At 30.6% G+C, this 18,009-nt stretch overlaps 1 protein-coding gene across 13 annotated transcripts in view; it reads right to left on the reverse strand.

Annotated features, from left to right (window-relative positions):
- Nucleotides 1-18,009, reverse strand: part of NOVA1 (NOVA alternative splicing regulator 1) — a 154,944-nt gene that overhangs the window by 25,984 nt on the left and 110,951 nt on the right. For 8 of the 13 annotated variants that reach the window (NM_001366392.2, NM_002515.3, NM_001366391.2 and 5 more), the window contains 2 exons: nt 10,904-11,070; nt 3,247-3,318 (listed from right to left, as the gene is read on the reverse strand). In NM_001366392.2, coding sequence (NP_001353321.1) covers nt 3,247-3,318; nt 10,904-11,070 — 239 coding nt within the window. Of the gene's footprint in view, nt 1-1,052; nt 1,418-3,246; nt 3,319-10,903; nt 11,071-18,009 lie in introns of those variants that run through there. The other 5 variants (NM_006489.3, NM_001366390.2, NM_001366394.2 and 2 more) reach the window with 2 other exon arrangements.

The following is an 18,009-nucleotide window of genomic DNA, read 5'->3' on the forward strand; positions in this document are numbered from 1 at the left end:
TAAATAATTTGATCTATTTGCTATATCTTTATATCTGCTTCATATTTAAAACTCCACGTGTAGAAGAATATCAAACTTGTACCTTACAATATGAAACACATGCACAGAAATACAAGTTGTAAAACTGTTAGTTCTTATAACGTTTCTTCTTCAGTAGGGGAAGAAGAGCAATTTTATGTATTTTTAGGCAACAAGTAACTGAGTATTCTTACTAGAAAATAATTGTAAAGTAGTTTAAAGCAGACAGGCTTTAATTACAGAAATATTTTAGAGTTGAAAAAACAGCCAATACTAATACTAGAATCTTTCCAAAGGCAAAACTCAAAAGCTTTAATAAGCCATTTGCTTTATTATTTACTACGTTAAAGAATAATCTTTTTCATTAGCACTTGACAGATAAGAAATTAAATAAACATAACCTAACATTTATATGATGTTTATTACATTCAAGACACTGTTCTAGGAAGAGGTAACTGTTCTTCATTTCTTATGTCAATCCTATGAGGCAATATTATTTGAATTTCACAGACGGGAAAACTGAGACTTAAGGTAACACACAAGACTGGAGAGCAGTGGCATGATCATGGCTCACTGCAGCCTCGAACTCCTGGCCTCAGGCACTCCTTCCGCCTCAGCCTCCAGGTAGCTAGGATTATAGGCAAGTGCCACCATGCCCAGTTAATTTTCAAAATGTATACATTTTTAGAGACAGGGTCTTGGCTATGTTATGTTGCCCAGGATGGTCTCAAACTCCTGGCCTCAAGTGATTCTCCTGCCTCGGCCTTCCAAAGTGTTGAAATTACAGGTGTGAGCCACCATGCCATCATTTTATAAGGCTTCTCATATAGTCTTTCAGTTTTAAGAAGGAAATTATTATAGGACAACACTGTAGTCAGAGTCTGTCAGTCTGACCTACGGAAACGTGTTAAGGGGTCTCAAGGTTAATAAAGTAAAATTCGGTATGTACTGAAACATGTCATCATTTTTAAAATAATAAAAAGTATTTTTAAATATTGGAAATGCAGATCAAACTTACTCTTTGAATAGTTTTCTGTATTTTTTATTTTTGGTTTTCTGAATATTGACAGTCCATTAGTTCTTTTCATTACAATTAGCTTAAGATGATCATATTAAAACCTATTTTCTTATCTTGGTTATATACTTCCAGATATAAGTCAGTATAGCAAAGCTAAATTAATCAGGACTATTGACAAGAAACAAATGAACAACAAAAAACACATTTCCTTCTGCCCTACCACATGATTAGAATCTACTGGAAAATACTGTTGGGGAGAAAATAATTACAAAGTATTAATAATATGAAAGATTGATGATTACAATTCTTTCAATGAATTACGGATTTTGTTTTGTTCTTCTCTTATATCTTGCTTCATGATATCCAGGAGATATTATGCTTCTTTGTACAAGAACAGAAGAAAACAGAGTATAAGTAACAATATAACAGAGTATAGTGGACAGAATATAAAATTACAAATGACTTATTATTTCAAAATAGCAAAATTTAGATTTGGCAAGGGTAAATGTAGCACTTTATCTAGAGGGTGAAAATACAACATTAGTAAACTAAAATATATAATTTGCCTTTTAAAGAAACCATTTTATAAAGATTCACAAGTTCATATAAGAATAAATGAAAGAAAATACAAATTTAGCTTCAAAGGCAAAATTATTAAGGAGGTTTTCTTTTCTAGATCCAAGGTTTTTTACCTTGAGAAAAATCATTCGTTTTATTTGTATTGTGGTTGTGTTTGTCACGTTTACATTTGGAAAAGACTGAACAATAAAGTACAAAAGAAATATTAAAAACACAAAATCAGTTGTTTTCCTAAAAGGTTTTTATACCATATAATTAAAACTCAGTAAAAGACAAGGTATGTAGAGTAAAAATGTAAGTATACTTTTAAACTTCATGCATTTGTAATACAAGCTTGGTTGTCACTTTATGTAGTACCATTTCCTTCAAAGAGAAGTGTTGGGTTTTACAACACTGCAGATGTGTATTTACTAACCACTTTACTGGGCCTAAAAATGTTTGCATTATAAAATGCTTTTGTTTGAAGGGAACGCTATTGCATAAAATGAAAATCAAACCTGTAGTATAAAATATCATCCTAAATGTTAGTTTTGCTTCCAGTTATTATATTTAAATCTTTCTTCAGGTTGCAAAAGTATTAGGATAAAAAAATCAGCAAAATAGTTCTGATAGTCTTATATTAGATAATACGCAAAAGCCACATTTAATATATTTAGCAAATATAGTTCAAAGTTAATAATTTGTTAGTCAACTATATGAAAAATATATTAAACAGATAAGCTTATATTTAATATTTAAATAACCCCATAAAGCCTTTTATTATTAAAAAAAGCAAAAATATTAAAGAAAATAACATTTCTCACCTAAATGAAGCTCAACTCACACAAAATAAAAATGTGTTTAATAATTTTAATAAATATATTATTCAACATTGTCAAATTAAAGTACAGTATGGCTCTGAATTACACAAATATTTTAGATAATCTTCTTATATTTGTCAAAAATAACTACATTTTTGAAGAATGACCTACAAATAGTACCAAAACAATCATAAATCAAACTAATAAAATATATTCTACTTGCAAAGTTTGTCAGCAGAGCAATGAAAATGCTTAGAATTTTTTAAAATACTAAGAAAACACCATCTCCTGAGTTGTTAAACATTAAAATTACCACAAATACCAATTTTCAGTTTCTTTTAGATTGCTAGAAATGCTTTTCATCAATAGTTGAAAGTTGTTTACATCATAAGGCATGTCTCAAATAAAAAGCAAATAAAATTGCATTCACTTTTAAAGATATACCTTTGCTCAATTTATACATTTTTTTTTTTACATATATGATATCCTTAACTTACATATGAAAAATTCTAGGAAGATACAATAAGGGAGATTAAAAATACCAATTCAATAAATAGGCTTCAGTGCTCCATTAGGTAGTCAAATTTTAAGGAAAAATAATAAAAAATTAGAGTAGTTTAATATCTGAATATAGTATTTGTTATCTAAAATTAAAAATGCATATAAAATTTTAGAAATAATTGATATTTCTTTCTTAGGTTATTTGGAATCTGACTATGGTGCATATATGTGAATGAACGAATAAATCCTTAACCCACCATTATCTTTTTCTCCAGTTTGCAGGCAATCACCCGTGAAAAGTATGGTGTAGATGACAGGATGATACTGTACCTGATTAGCTCTGGAGGTGGTCATGGGATCAGATGGAGAGGACTTGGTGGTAGTTGGGGAAGATGGCAATGTCTGGGAAACAAAGCAGTTCAGGAGCAAATCAACCTTTATAAGCCTTAAACTGATTATTTAAATAAAACAAAATAAAATAAAATGTAATATAACGAGAACAAAATCCTATGAACAAATTTTTCTCCTATTCATTTGAATTTAATGGATTTTAACATCAATTAAGTAACTAATGCATGTAAAGATGCATGCATAAGCATGTAAAAATAAATTCATGACTTGAAATCATGATGGTGACTGATAAAAATTCACATGAGTACTAAAAGTATCCTGACCATATTCATGAATAGTAGTTTCATTTCTTTCCCTCTTGTTTTCTTGGGGAAAAGAGATGTAAAAAAAAAAAAAATTCAAGAAGTTCAATGAATAAAACCAAAAGAGTCACTTTCCTATCGATGAATACAGTCGGAGATTTGAAGAAGTGGTGAAATGAAGTTTACTTTGGCATAAAATTATCCACCTACTTAATATGTTGAACATCACCAACAAGTTGATTCCACATGAATTTAGGGATCCATACTTAAAAGCAATTAAATTTGAAGTTCTGAGTTCTTAATATCACATTATCTTCTAAAATATTAATTTTTAATAAATTTAAGGCCCGTCTGAAAATGTAAACATTAACCTCATATTAATAAACAGGTAACTAATAGCATTCTAACAAATCATCATAATATTTTTATTATTTATCTTAAAGAGTAAATTTAATATAGATGAAGAGTATAATATAGCATCATCAGCTGTGTTAAAAATAAACACAAAAATATTAGGAATCATATTTATTGTTCACTTCTAAACATATACACTTACTATATATATATAATATGTTGTATAAGGCCATCTACACATGTTGAACAATTCATTAAGATTTTTAAAAAAGTTCTTATGTCTAACAGAAATACCTTAAAAGTGTAAGATGTTTAGAATTTTTTTAAGTGTCATATGCTCACTAAGCAAAATAGCATTGCTTATGTTACGTCCTCAATAGATAATATTTCTAAACAGGTGAAATGGGATAGGTTTTTATATTGAAGATACACTTGTATATGGACATTATGTTTTATATTATATTAATATCTATTTGTCAAAATTACTCAGATATGAGCAAAAGCATAACTTTAAAGGTTCAGCAGTGTCAGGAAAAGCAGATGAAATTACTTGAAGTCATATTTTTGCATTTGACATTTCAAAAGTTGTAATTTGCGTACAATAAAGCCATTAAGAGTTAAAAATAAAAAAAAAGAATAAGAAATTTCCAGGCTTCTGGTTAATTCACTGCCCTCCAGTAACAAAATACTACTGTTTCTAACATCATACCATGTTTTACATAGTCCACTCCTCAAATAATTCCTGATTCTTCTAAAGTTAAAACCTAAGTACTTCTAGGAAACCTACAATAGTGAGTCAAACCAAGATTTTTACCAAATCATACAAAAAAGGGGTAGGACAGCTATAGTAATCAGTAAATCCTCAAAATTCTAAAAAAGTTTTAAATCTTTTGTTTTCTATTTTTGTTTTTTATAATTAATTCTTGCTATTTCTCAAGAGAGACTTCATTTCCAATCATTAAAAATTTCCCTAATATTTTATTTTCCATGCAATACTTTGCTGAGACATATGCTAATGACTCCATGCTATGATTGTTCTATGAATTGAACAGTAAAGGTTTTATTTTTCTACCATTGGTTACAACTGTTACTACAGAGGATACCTGGGAGGAGTTAACATACATGTAAAAATCTATTCAGTACTAATCTCAGATTAATAATGAGTCTGGTGACTAAGTATGTGTTAAATCTAGAGATCATTTCTCCCAATACAGGTTAGAATCCATGTTGATTAACCTACAGAAGCACGATTCTATGTGTGTTGAGCTCTTCTATTTCCATTAGAAGTACTATCTAATGGAAAATAATTCTGAAGTACTACAGGTTTAATATGACATCCACCTTGTCTTGGATACAAATTCTCAACAAGGTCTTAACTGCAAAGAACCATGTAGAAAAAGTTTAATTGCAAATTGAACTTTTAATTAAAATTAAAATTTAATATCGAATGGCTCAGAATTTGTAATCACTTAGATTAATACAATCTGTCGATTTTTATTGCCTTTCTTTTTGCTTGGCATATATATAAAATATTGGACATGTATTAATAATTGATAGAACTTACATTCATCAAAATTATCCCTAATAATTGTGATGCTGTTTCTTTCCTACAGGAATAAAATCAATGATTTTAAATTTCTAGACAATATCAATGTGCCTAAGATAATTAAACTTTTGGTTGGTAAACATCATAATCTGTTAAGAGGTTACATTTTAATATATTTAATAAACAAGTAAAAATTATGTAAGTTTGGGTTTCAAGTTGTAAGAGTGTTGAAATGTTACAGTAAGTTGTCTCTATATTTTCTTAGTTTAAATTATTAAAATAATGAAAATGTAATGAAATAAAGATGTGACAAGTTTTGCAGCTATTATTCATATAAATACTTTTAAGCACAAAAAGACCCCTGCTTTATAAATTCAATTTATAACAATAAAAATACCCTCGAAAGTTTCCTTTCAGTTGATTGTTTTTTAAATACTAGGAGAAAAAGTGTTCTCATAAACAGCTAAATGTAAATATACTAAAGTAATACTTGTAAAAGATTATTAAATTAATGGAACAGGTGTGATAGTTGTTCTCAACCATACAGATAAAGCCATACAGATTTCTTATAAAACAAAAATCCGTAAGAAATATTTCAATGTGCAATATAAATGTACAAGTTGTTTATTTCCTTAATATTTTATTATATTATTATTATCATCATTATTTTATACAGACAGGGTCTCGCTTTGTTGCCCAGGCTGGTCTCAAACTCCTGGCTTCAAGCAATCCTCTGTCTTGGCCTCCTAAAAGTGCTCAGATTACTGGCAAGAGCCACTGCACCTGGCCTGTTGCCTTAACATTTTATAAGCAAACTGTTTACATCCATTTACTGTACAGAGTTAAAGTTTAGTGGTTTCATGTTAAATATCCTTTAGTAAAATTTCTGATATACATCATGAAGATGTAATTAACTGAATATCCACATAACATTATATACTGATATATTAGTTAGAACAAAGCACACAGTCCTACAAAAATTTTTTTCTACATTTTTCAAATAATGAATGTGAAGGACAGACTCAGTTTTCAGTGCCATTTTTTCTTTCAAACGGAAAAGCATAATATATATTTTATCTACATTACTTGAATGGCTGTTTAATAATTCTTTAGACGCTGAAGGGTGAAAATACTTAATGCAGAATAATTATTAACAATTTTAAAACAGTGGATCTTTTGGAATATAGTTTTTTAAAAAATCAAGAATTTAACAGTAGGTAATTAAATGTAGACATAACTAGGCTTTTGGAAATAAGTGTGACTATTACAAATTATGAGATGAATTCTTGTTAACAAATGACAGTTTTGCTGGGCCAGAGAATATTATTATTAATAAACACTGTAATAAACAGAGCTTGCTTTCAAGCAAGTCTGCAGTAATAGACTGTCAAGAACCTCTGGTATTTATAGGCAAAGTGAAAACAGCGACGAACAACAAATCTCAATTGTAATTCAAAATCTATTACTAGTGAAGTAACATTACTGAAGTAATCACCTTCCCAATCCCCTATTTTGAGTTCTGTTAAATAAATCTGTGTACTGTAACATTTGTATACATACTGTACCAAAATGAATAAAATATTTAAATATTTAACTGTCATCTTTAGTTTTTAATTTCTGACAAATATCTTCCTCTTTCCAACATGTGAACTGTCTTCCAGCATCTGAACTAGTCAATTCACAGTTCTCTTTTCCTATGAATAGCTGTACCTACAAGCACCCTAAGAGTCTGTCTGGATTTTTAATGCAAGAGAGAACAAACAGCATAAGTGACTTCTTTTTTTTCCCCCCCAAAATCTTCCAGATAAATTAAAAGGGCTCTTTAGGAAAATGTTTGGCAAATCTGTATTCCATAGGATGTCCTTTGATTAGACATCCAAGGTTTTTCATTATCTGGCTCCCTAACATCTATCTAACATTAATTCCCTCTCGACTGCAACATAAATGTCCCACTTCTGCCAATACAGTCTCCTTACTATTCAACAAATATGATACCCTTCTCCCCAAATTCACATCATTTCACCTTCCTAAAATAAGTGTTTTTCTTTCTTCTACTCTAATTAGGCTATTCCTATACATTCTTCAAGGTCCAGTCAAGTTTTCATCTATTTACAAGACTATTAACTGTCACTCTGACCTGTATTTCTTTTACACGCCTCTGAATTTTTTTCTTTTCTTTTTTTTTTTTTTTGAGACAGAGCTTCGCTCTTGTTGCCCAGGCTGGAGTACAATGGCGCGATCTTGGCTCACTGCAACCTCCACAACCAGGGTTCAAGCGATTCTCCTGCCTCAGCCTCCCAGCAGCTGTGACTACAGGCATGCGCCACCACACCCGGCTAATTTTGTATTTTTAGTAGAGATGGGGTTTCTCTATGTTGGTCAGGCTGGTCTCAAACTCCCGACCTCAGGTGCTCTGCTCGCCTCAGTCTCCCAAAGTGCTGGGATTACAGGCGTGAGCCACAGTGCCTGGCCACGCCTCTGAATTTTTATAGCATATTGTTTACATTGTAGTTTTGGTATATAAATACAATTTTAATTTTTATAAGTTATTTTAAGTACTTATCTCACAAACTGGTCTGCAAGGGCTACAGTTTAGTATATTTTGCTACTTACTAAGAAGGCATTTAGTAAATTCATAATTATTCATGCCCATGAATAATGAACAAACAAATTAACAAGTGCTATTTTTGTCAATTTATCATGACGACAGTAAAACTCTTAGGGTTAAATGAAATATTTTTGATATCTTACTTTGATTTTTTTTAAATACAAGAGAATTCTTTAAATGTCCATAACTACTTCTTCCCTGATGTAGCTTTTAGAAAAAATACATATATGAATTAAGAATTAAATATTCCACAAGATCTAATATATCAAGTTATATATAAGGCCATTGTGCTAAATTTCATTATTCTACTATATGAAAGACCTGAGAGACCAGCAGGCACTACTTTCCCAAGAAATTATACTTGTCTGAGAACCCACTCAGTCAATAAGGGCAGTTTTCAATTGGATAAAATACCTGGTTCATTCAATTTACTTAGTTTAAAACATACATAAGAAACATACAAAATGTATTTTAATCTATTCTATTGCAAAATGATTTTAGACATAACTATTTTATACTGAATAACAGCATAATTTTTCAGAAGTAAAATTAAGGTCATTTAAATTTATATATTTATTATTTAGAGAATAATCCAGCAAAGAGTACTACGTTGGTAAAATTGGATACCTAGAAAGTCAGAGAATCCCAAACTTAGAGCAAAAGGTCTGACTGATTTATAATATTTTGGAAATACATTTCACTGCTTTACTAGATTTTTCAAGTAAAATTTTCAACTTTTATAATATAAAGAAAATATGTAAGTGTTAAATACAATGTCTTATTAGATTTAGTGTTGTCTTTTTAATAAATCCTTTTAAATGATACACTGTCACATACATTATTGATTACATGAAAATATTAAATAACCAACAATACTTCTAATTCCATGAATACCTACAAGTCTTACAAATGGATGCAAATACACAAAAGTCAATAAATCACTATTATTTTTTATACTTATCTTGAAGTTAAATAACATCCAAAAAGGCAAATAAAAATAAAGCAAATATTTTAAAATTCTAGTCTTCATAAATCTATACTGGCACTGGATATATGATAGCCTGTAAATCTCATACTGCCATATAGCAAATTAGAATTTTAACAATGATTCATAGACCATTATTTGGTGGTATGAGATATTTATTCTTATAAAAAATAATAATAATTCATATCACCGTCCTGAACATATTGTCAATGGTATCATACTACTAAATTTTATGTTTTACTTAAAAAAAAATCAAGATATTGGCTTCTATCCCTAAATGTTTGAATTTTCTCACAGAAATTACAAAAGAAAAGGAGGAACTTATAGGCTGGATTAAGGCAGAAAGCCAATAGACCTTATACTTCAGTGCTTATTCTGTAAACTCTTAGCCCCAGGTGATTTTAACCTAAGTCTTTAACTACACTTCTACTTTTAAACTCTGATTAAAGTCACAGTATTACTTTCAAGAATTCAGTCTTCAAACTACTCTTTGTATTCACTGAGGGTAAAAAAAATAAACACAACTATAAATGACTGTGAAAAATAAAATATCCACTGATTTTACAGCTTTAAAATATTTATATTCTCCCATGTATACATTAAGGGATACTTCTTTTAAGACTTATGAAGGGTATAAACTGAACCATTTGACACTGACAAAGATTATAATATGAACATTTTTGTATAGAATAACAACTACCTACTCATGATTTAAACATAAAGGGATTTTTTTAAAAAAGTAATTAGTATAAAATTAGACATTAGTCTATAATTTGAAAATATATTGCCTAATTATCAATTTCTATGTTTATATTTCATTATTCAACATTATATTTATCTATATATTGGTAAAATTATAGGATTCATAACACTGTTCAGTATAATACTTTTTAAATTCAGAAACATGAAATTAATAAGACTTTGAGCTACATTTCAAATTTATTACAATGAACATGAGTATTCTGTAAATTAAATATTCTGTGAATTACTGAAGAATAATACATTTCTTTTGAAGCCATAGTCTGTGATAGTAAAATTACGTCACAAATTAAGACGCTAATTATAAAAAGGCAAAGGCAGAAACAATAATTATGAACATAATAAATTTATAGACGTAAAAGAGTTTACGGTGGAAGAATCCACCTTATTTAACATGAAATAATGTCATTTTCCCCCTACATCATGTCACCCATTATTCAATCTTAAAAACTCACATCAGTTTTTCCCAAGTAAAATTTTTTACAAAAAATCTCGTACATTAAAAATGAACATTGGCCCTTTATGACATATGTTTAAATACTACATAAGTTACACAAAACACAGTAACTGATTTGTAACAAAGGACTGTATGGTAGGTACATAAATTTACTATACATTTTTTTGATAAAAAATGAGAACATGACAACAAAATTAACAAAACAGGAGCCTCTATGCATAATAACTATCCTGAAAACTACAAATATCACTAAAAATAGGGTATTGGAAATTTTGAATGTATCATTGAAATACTTATACTTTATTTAAAAAGTGATATAATTTTAAACAGATTCAATTCCTATAAATTAAATTTGTGTCTATAAATTTAAAAAGGGCAATCACTAAGAGTCACATAAGTGCTCCTCAATGTAACACTAATAAATGAATAATTCAATTGATCAATAAATTAACTGATCAATCTAAGGATGAGACCTTGATAGTCTTTAAATAACTAAATGACAACTCTGGTATGTTTTATGTGTGCTTAAAATAAAAGTTTTATGCTAACACTTTAAGGCTTCTTTTGTAAGGAACTTATACTATGCTGTGGATATTTCTCTTTGATTTCTCAACTAAACACTCACTTGTTTGATGCGATCTGGATTAACGGTGGTCTGGGGTTGTAGAATGCTGACTGGTTCTGTCTTGGCCACATTTTGGGGCATTTCTCGAATTTTTTCTGCAATGAATCCATGAACTGCATTCAGTGCTTCAACCGTTCCCTGGATCAAGCACACTCGCTCAGTAGTACCTGTGGATAAAACATTGATTTTCAGAAAATATTCCACACTTTGCATTAAAAAAATTATGAAAAAGGATGATATCATAACGCCAAAAAAATGTAAAATGCAGAACTCTAACGTAAAACATTTAATTGAACCACACGTAATATATACATGTCTCTTCTCATGATTCCTTTTATAAATTCCGTTCTAGTTGTTTTGGTCTCAAAAAGGGCATTTGGATTGCAGCTCAATCAGAGATCCAGAGAAGTTGTGAACATATCACTGATTCATTGACATAACAAATACTTATTGAGTACTTATAAAAGAACTTAGGGTTAGAAACTGGTAACATGCCAGTAAAGATCTATAAACCCAGTTTTCAAAGAGCTTACTCTTCAGGGGGAAAAAAACCGACATAAAACCAGAGAATTGTAGGACATTACAGTCTGAAAATAATGGTGGTAACAACATAGATGGTACAAGTTGTTCCATCACTTACCACGCTCTTCCTTTAATCATAGCAACACTTGTTACCCGATATTTTACATTGTTTTTTTTTTTACTTTTTCACTAGAATATAAGCTCTACGTGGAGTGTAAATTTGTTTTGTTTTGTGCTGTAGTATCCTCAAAGTTTAGAATAGCTTCTGGCACACAATAGGTACACTGTAAACATTTGTTGGATAAATGAATCAGTGCTGTCTTTATTGATGATATAATTTTAATAAAAAGAATATTAGGACTAAACATGAAATTTAAATAGTTTATGAAACTTGAAATTCACAAATATTTGTTAAAGATATTATTAATAGTATTTATTTAATATCTTGTGAATAAAATGTAAATATATGATGCAAGACAAGACTAAGGTGAAACTGTGTCTAACACACAGGTCGTATCACCTATTTTATACTTTACAGATATACATTAAGGCAATAAAAATAAATTAGTTTTTCAGATTATTCTCAGGCTTATTGTAGAAGCCTGGTATTCCACTGTAATCTTCTCAGTGACCCAACATAACACATGAACTTGCTTCTAAGAAATAAGTATTTCTTTTCTAAACAGTTGTTAAAATTTTCCAAAAAATGGGATTTTAAAATTTATAAAAGAGTTTTTGAATTAATGGAAATATTTTCAATTACCTAACATATTTCCTTTTGGTGCTACTGTTTCAAAATTTCAAGGTACTTTGTAAAATGTTTTAAAATACATTCTGAAGGACAAATTTGTGAAACTACAAATATTTAAAAAGTCATAAGGAGTTTATACTGCTTTAAAGATTCTGACACACAGACCAATTTTCTAGTAGTTTTGAAATTAAAATAATAGTAAAAGAATATCATTAATACTTCTAGAAGACAGAATTAGATTACAGGAATTAGAAGCAGAAATAAAAGAAAAACTTAGAGATATACCTAAATAAAATTGTCATATTTTAAACAATGAAAATTCAGATCTATAAAAATCTAAGTTTCCTGGATTTTACAAAACATTTCAATAGACCATGTATATGGCTTTCATTTGTAAGGGTGGATAAAGCCTGAAAAACATAATGTGAGTCTGTGGGTTTAATTTTTCCAGTTTCTCTTAATCAGCTTTTCTCATTCTTGTCTATCTTGATATACATATTGTGGTTCCTGCATAAAATGATCTAGTTTATGGGGATACTCTAGGGAGTCTTTACAAGGTTGTATTAAGTGTCCAATAAATGACTAGAAAGGATAGGAACTGATCAATGTAGCTAATACAAAGTGTTCTTATCCAGGTCAGCAGACAATATGAAAACAGATCAGATTACATTCTTGTTTTTGGAGACAACTACAGAGTGCTCTTTTGTGGATGCCAAAACAGTCTAACTTAGATAGAGATAAAAAAAAAAAAAAAAAAAAAAAAAACATGGCTCTAAATAACTAAAGAGATTATAAATCTATGCTGTCAATAAAATTCTGATAATACAAACCATGTCAGACCACACAGTAGCCCCTATACTTTTCAGATTGCAGAGACTAACAGATAGTGAGTGGAAATTACTGAGCCATAAAGAATTATGACTGTCTAAAGCTAAATTTCACATATTAGCATCTGTGGGACAATTGAAAATAGTTCACAGGTTCACAATTGCAGTACATACTGTTTGAAAATTAAATTACATAATTTGCATTAGAACTATTAACATAAAAAAAGGAAAGAAAAAAGGAGATTCTATATCTACCACTCAGAAATGCTACAATCCTCAGAAGAGATGCTATCATATTCTTCTACTGAACTTATGGCCTTTTCACTCAGAAAACACAAAACCGTAATTTTTAGGAGAAAGTCACAAAAAAGGGAGACTGTCAGGTGTATGATCAAACTGTGTTAAAAAAAATGAGCCTATAAATCATAAAAGTTGCTGGTTTTGTCATTTTAAAGGATTTAGGCTCAATTAGTATCTAAACTAAACTGCCTGTTATTTATCATTTTATTTAACAGTAGCATTTATTTCTCTTTGAAACACACTAGCAACGAGAGGTGAAAACCAGTTACATAAAAGTACATGCCCATATTTTGTATAAGATAGAGGTATATAAGATACCATTAATTAATTAATTTTTTTGAGACAGAGTCTCACTTTATCACTCAGGCTGGAGTGCAGTGGTGAGATCTTGGCTCACTGCAGCCTCGACCACCTGGGCTCAAGAGTGATCCTCATGCCTTGGCCCTCCAAGCAGCTGGGACTACAGGAAGGCACCACCATGCCTGGCTAATTTTTTGGATTTTTTTGTAGAGACAGAGTTTCGACATGTGGCATAGGCTGCTCTTCTGAGCTCAAGTGATCTGCCCACCTCAGCCTCCCAAAGTGCTAGGATTACAGGTGTGAGCCACCACGCCCGGCTTAAGAGACCATTAATTTAAAACTGCACTTTTAAGAAAGAAATCACAAAAAGTATAATAAGAAGGGGCAATGTCAAATACAGGCATTGACATTTACAATGACTTTAAGTTTTGATTTAACATACAGTATTAAATGCTAAAAATGCACAGGTTTCTAAAATTACATACAATTATCAGTTTTAATAGAAAAGTTTTCACAGAAATTTAATAAAATATATTCAGTGCTACTATAAGTTTAGGTAAGTCAGTTACACAGTTCCTGTTTCTACCTAAGGTGATCCATCACTTATGCACTGGGCCCTGTGCCCCCTTACCTACCAAGTCCACTGCTTCTCCAGTTAGAGTTATTTCTTACATCATAATTTTTTTCTATTGAATATTCCCATCAGTAGGAAATATGTTGTAATTTCTACAATTTTTAAAGACATTGATAGAGTTAGAAAATTACTCTTTTGCAAACCTAATGACAAAATTAAGTTTGGTAAAGATCATAAATGGATAAAATCATCAGATGAAAGGTTAATATAAAATTTTCAATAAAAACATCAGGTATTACCAACTGATTTCAATGATCAACATTAGCATGACGAGTATGAAAACCAAACATTATATGCTTCTTGATGTGATGTAATAAAAAACACACAGAACCAATTATGATGTACCTAAAAGTAGTTGAACCTAAATCTAATCAAACATTTAGCACTATAGATTAATACTGAAAACAGAACAATAAACGATACCATAAGGAAGCAAAGACACAAAAATAGTTTATAAGACAACTGATGCAGCTTCGTCAATAAAGAAGAGATTACTCTCCAGACAAAAGAAGACTTAAAATATGTTATGACTAAATGTAAGGCAGAATTTGGTTGGGTCCCAAATTAAACAATTTTCACTTGAAACAAAATTGAGGCAATGACAAGGACAGAGTTTTGGCACCAAATAATTACTGTTAACTTCAACATGTGAGATTATGGCATCAGTTTACAGAAAGTGTCATTTTTTTTTCTTTTCTGAGATGAATACTGAAATATGTACAGGTAAAATGTAACTGAACTTGCATCAAAATATTTCTGCAACAACAAAAAATGAGTAAACTTTTTAGGCATGACAAATCTTGATACTGTTGATATAGATGAAGGGTATAAAGAAATTAATTGGCCGGGTGCGGTGGCTCACACCTGTAATCCCAGCACTTTGGGAGACCGAGGCAGGCGGATCATGAGGCCAGAAGATCGAGGCCATCCTGGCTAACACGGTGAAACCCCATCTCTACTAAAAATACAAAAAAAAATAGCCGGGCATGGTGGCGGGCACCTGTAGTCCCAGCTACTCAGGAGGCTGAGGCAGGAGAATGACGCGAACCCGTGAGGCGGAGCTTGCAGTGAGCCAAGATCGCGCCACTGCACTCCAGCCTGGGCGAGACTCCGTCTCGAAAAAAAAAAAAAAAAAAAAAAAAAAAAAAAAAAGAAATTAATTGTTCTATTTTATACATGCTTACAATTTTCATTTAAAAACATTTAAAAAATCTCATTGACCTCATACCCCTCTTCTAGTTGCAGCTCAATTTCCTTATCCCTCAAAATTCCTTGAATGAGTTTTATAGATACTCTCTTTCTACTTCCTCATCACCCAATCCTGAATATACTCCAATATGGCTTTTTTTCTCCTTGAATCTAGTAGATTCTACAACTCTACTGAAAGCATTCATCACAGCTGTACCTGGATAAATCTAATCTTCAAGTCTTCATGTTGTTTGCCTCGTCAGCAGCATTTTATGCTGTCAGTAGGTGACCATTCTGTTCTAAAAACACTTCACTTGGCTTTCAGAATGCCACATGCTCCTAGCTCATGGTTTTTACTCAGTTCATTAACTCATTTGATAAAAATGTATTGAGTCCCTACTAAATAAGTATCATATTAGAAGCTGAAGGTACAGCAATGACCAAACAGGAAAAAAAAAACGAACAAACCCTGCCTTCATGGAGCTCATATTCTAGTTCATGTGGACAGACACTATACATAAGAGAAATAAAACACAGAGAAAGAATAGTAAAAGAAAATAACTGTTATGAAAAACACTGAGAGACAATGACAGGCTCAGCAGAGACAAAAACAACAGTATGAAAGGGACTTTGTCATGTTTACCACTGTATCTCCAGTGCCCAGAAGAGTGCCTGGCACACTACAGATACTCAACAAGTATTTTTTTTTTAAATAAACAACTTCCTGAGTCTAAAATTTCTTGTCTGTATTTTGAAACATATATGTGATTGATTTCTAAGGCCTTTTTTATCTACAAAATATCTATAAAGCCAGTAAATCTCTCGGTTTATAAGATCATTCAACGAACATAAAAAGCAGATATATTTCGGAAAATGATTTAAAAACTATAATAAGTTATAATTTATCATTTAAAAAGGGCACGTGGTAAAAGTTTTTTGAGACAGGTACTAGGAGAAATAATGGATAATTTAACAATTTTTTTCTTTTTCCTAGGGTAGAAAAAAATAGACAAACTCTGAAAATGAACTCTACCTAAAATAATATTGTTAGGGAGAAAAATATTTTTTGTTGTGGTCTAAAGTGCTATAAAAAACTGTTTAGATACCTGAGACATTATTCAAACCAGAGTAAGACTATTCTAGAATAACGAACATATGCTAATGATTTGATCCACATAGTTTCAATTGTCATCTATAATGAAAATTAGTGAACATTCTGTTCATATAAAAGAAAATGCATCAGTTTATATTCCTACTGGAAATATAACTCAGTATCTTATGAAAGAATACAGACATAATTATTTAGGAAATATTAATGTTAGTGTAGAGTAAGTCATTTGGTTGGATGAGTGACACTGAAACATCACAAAATAAAACAATAATACAAAAATGTAGTAGAAAATTTATTAACACTTCTATGACAATCTATAGCAATAATTTTGGCCTCCAAAATAACTTAAGAAAATGTAAATACCAATTAACTCTAACAGGCAAAAGCTGATATTTAAAACAACATGATATACAGATAATTTATAGAGATAACTGCTACTTATTATGCAGAGAAATTACTAATTTTGGATAGCTAATATTGTGATCAACATGTTTTTATTTCATGCAAGTAAACATTTAGTTTCTATCATATCAAGAAATATCTTGCAATATATATTTTCAAATACATTTAAATTTCCTTGCTATTTGGAGGTATGTCTGTCTGTTTACTCTTACACAAACAGTGCTTTGTGAGTGGTATCTATTCTTTTAGTTTTCATATTTTTCCTCTTTTTGCCACTTATTTTTGCTGTTTGCTAAAATATCTGATTATAACAGGCTCTTCTCTTATAATTTGCTGTTTCTAGTCCTCAGCAACCTAATAATATACAGTTAAATAAGACTGTTAAAATTATATAAACTATTAACAAGTAGGTTCCGGGCCGGGCATGGTGGCTCACGCTTGTAATCCCAACACTTTGGGAGGCTGAGGCGGGCGGATCATGAGGTCAGGAGATCAAGACCATCCTGGCTAACACGGTGAAACCCCGTCTCCACTAAAAATACAAAAAATTAGCCAGGCGTGGTGGTGGGCACCTGTAGTCCTAGCTACTTGGGAGGCTGAGGCAGGAGAATGGCATGAACCTGGGAGGCAGAGCTTGCAGTGAGCCGAGATCACACCACTGCACTCCAGCCTGGGTGACAGACTCAAAAAAAAAAAAAAAAAAAAAAAAAGCCAAACAAACAAAAAAAAAACCAAGTAGTTTTCTTGTTCCTAGTGACAACCATAGGGAATATGTGGCCTTTATGAAATCATTTTTGATTTCATTTTTCTTTATTTCCAAGTTTGGGGTCAGTGTAAATAGATAAAATATTACTTTAATGCTTTCTTCTTAAAAGATTTAAAATTCTATACAAGCATCTTAATTTTTAAAACTAAAACACAAAGTATCCTTTCAACAGACTATGTTACCATTTATTTAATAAAAATCACCCATAATAGTCTATATATGATAATCACTTTTCATATTGTCTTTATAAATAGATGATTTACATTCATTTCTTAGGTTACCAAATTTATTGCTATAATTACATA

The sequence above is a fragment of the Homo sapiens genome, chromosome 14, assembly GCF_000001405.40.
Source record: "Homo sapiens chromosome 14, GRCh38.p14 Primary Assembly".
Lineage (NCBI taxonomy): Eukaryota > Metazoa > Chordata > Mammalia > Primates > Hominidae > Homo > Homo sapiens.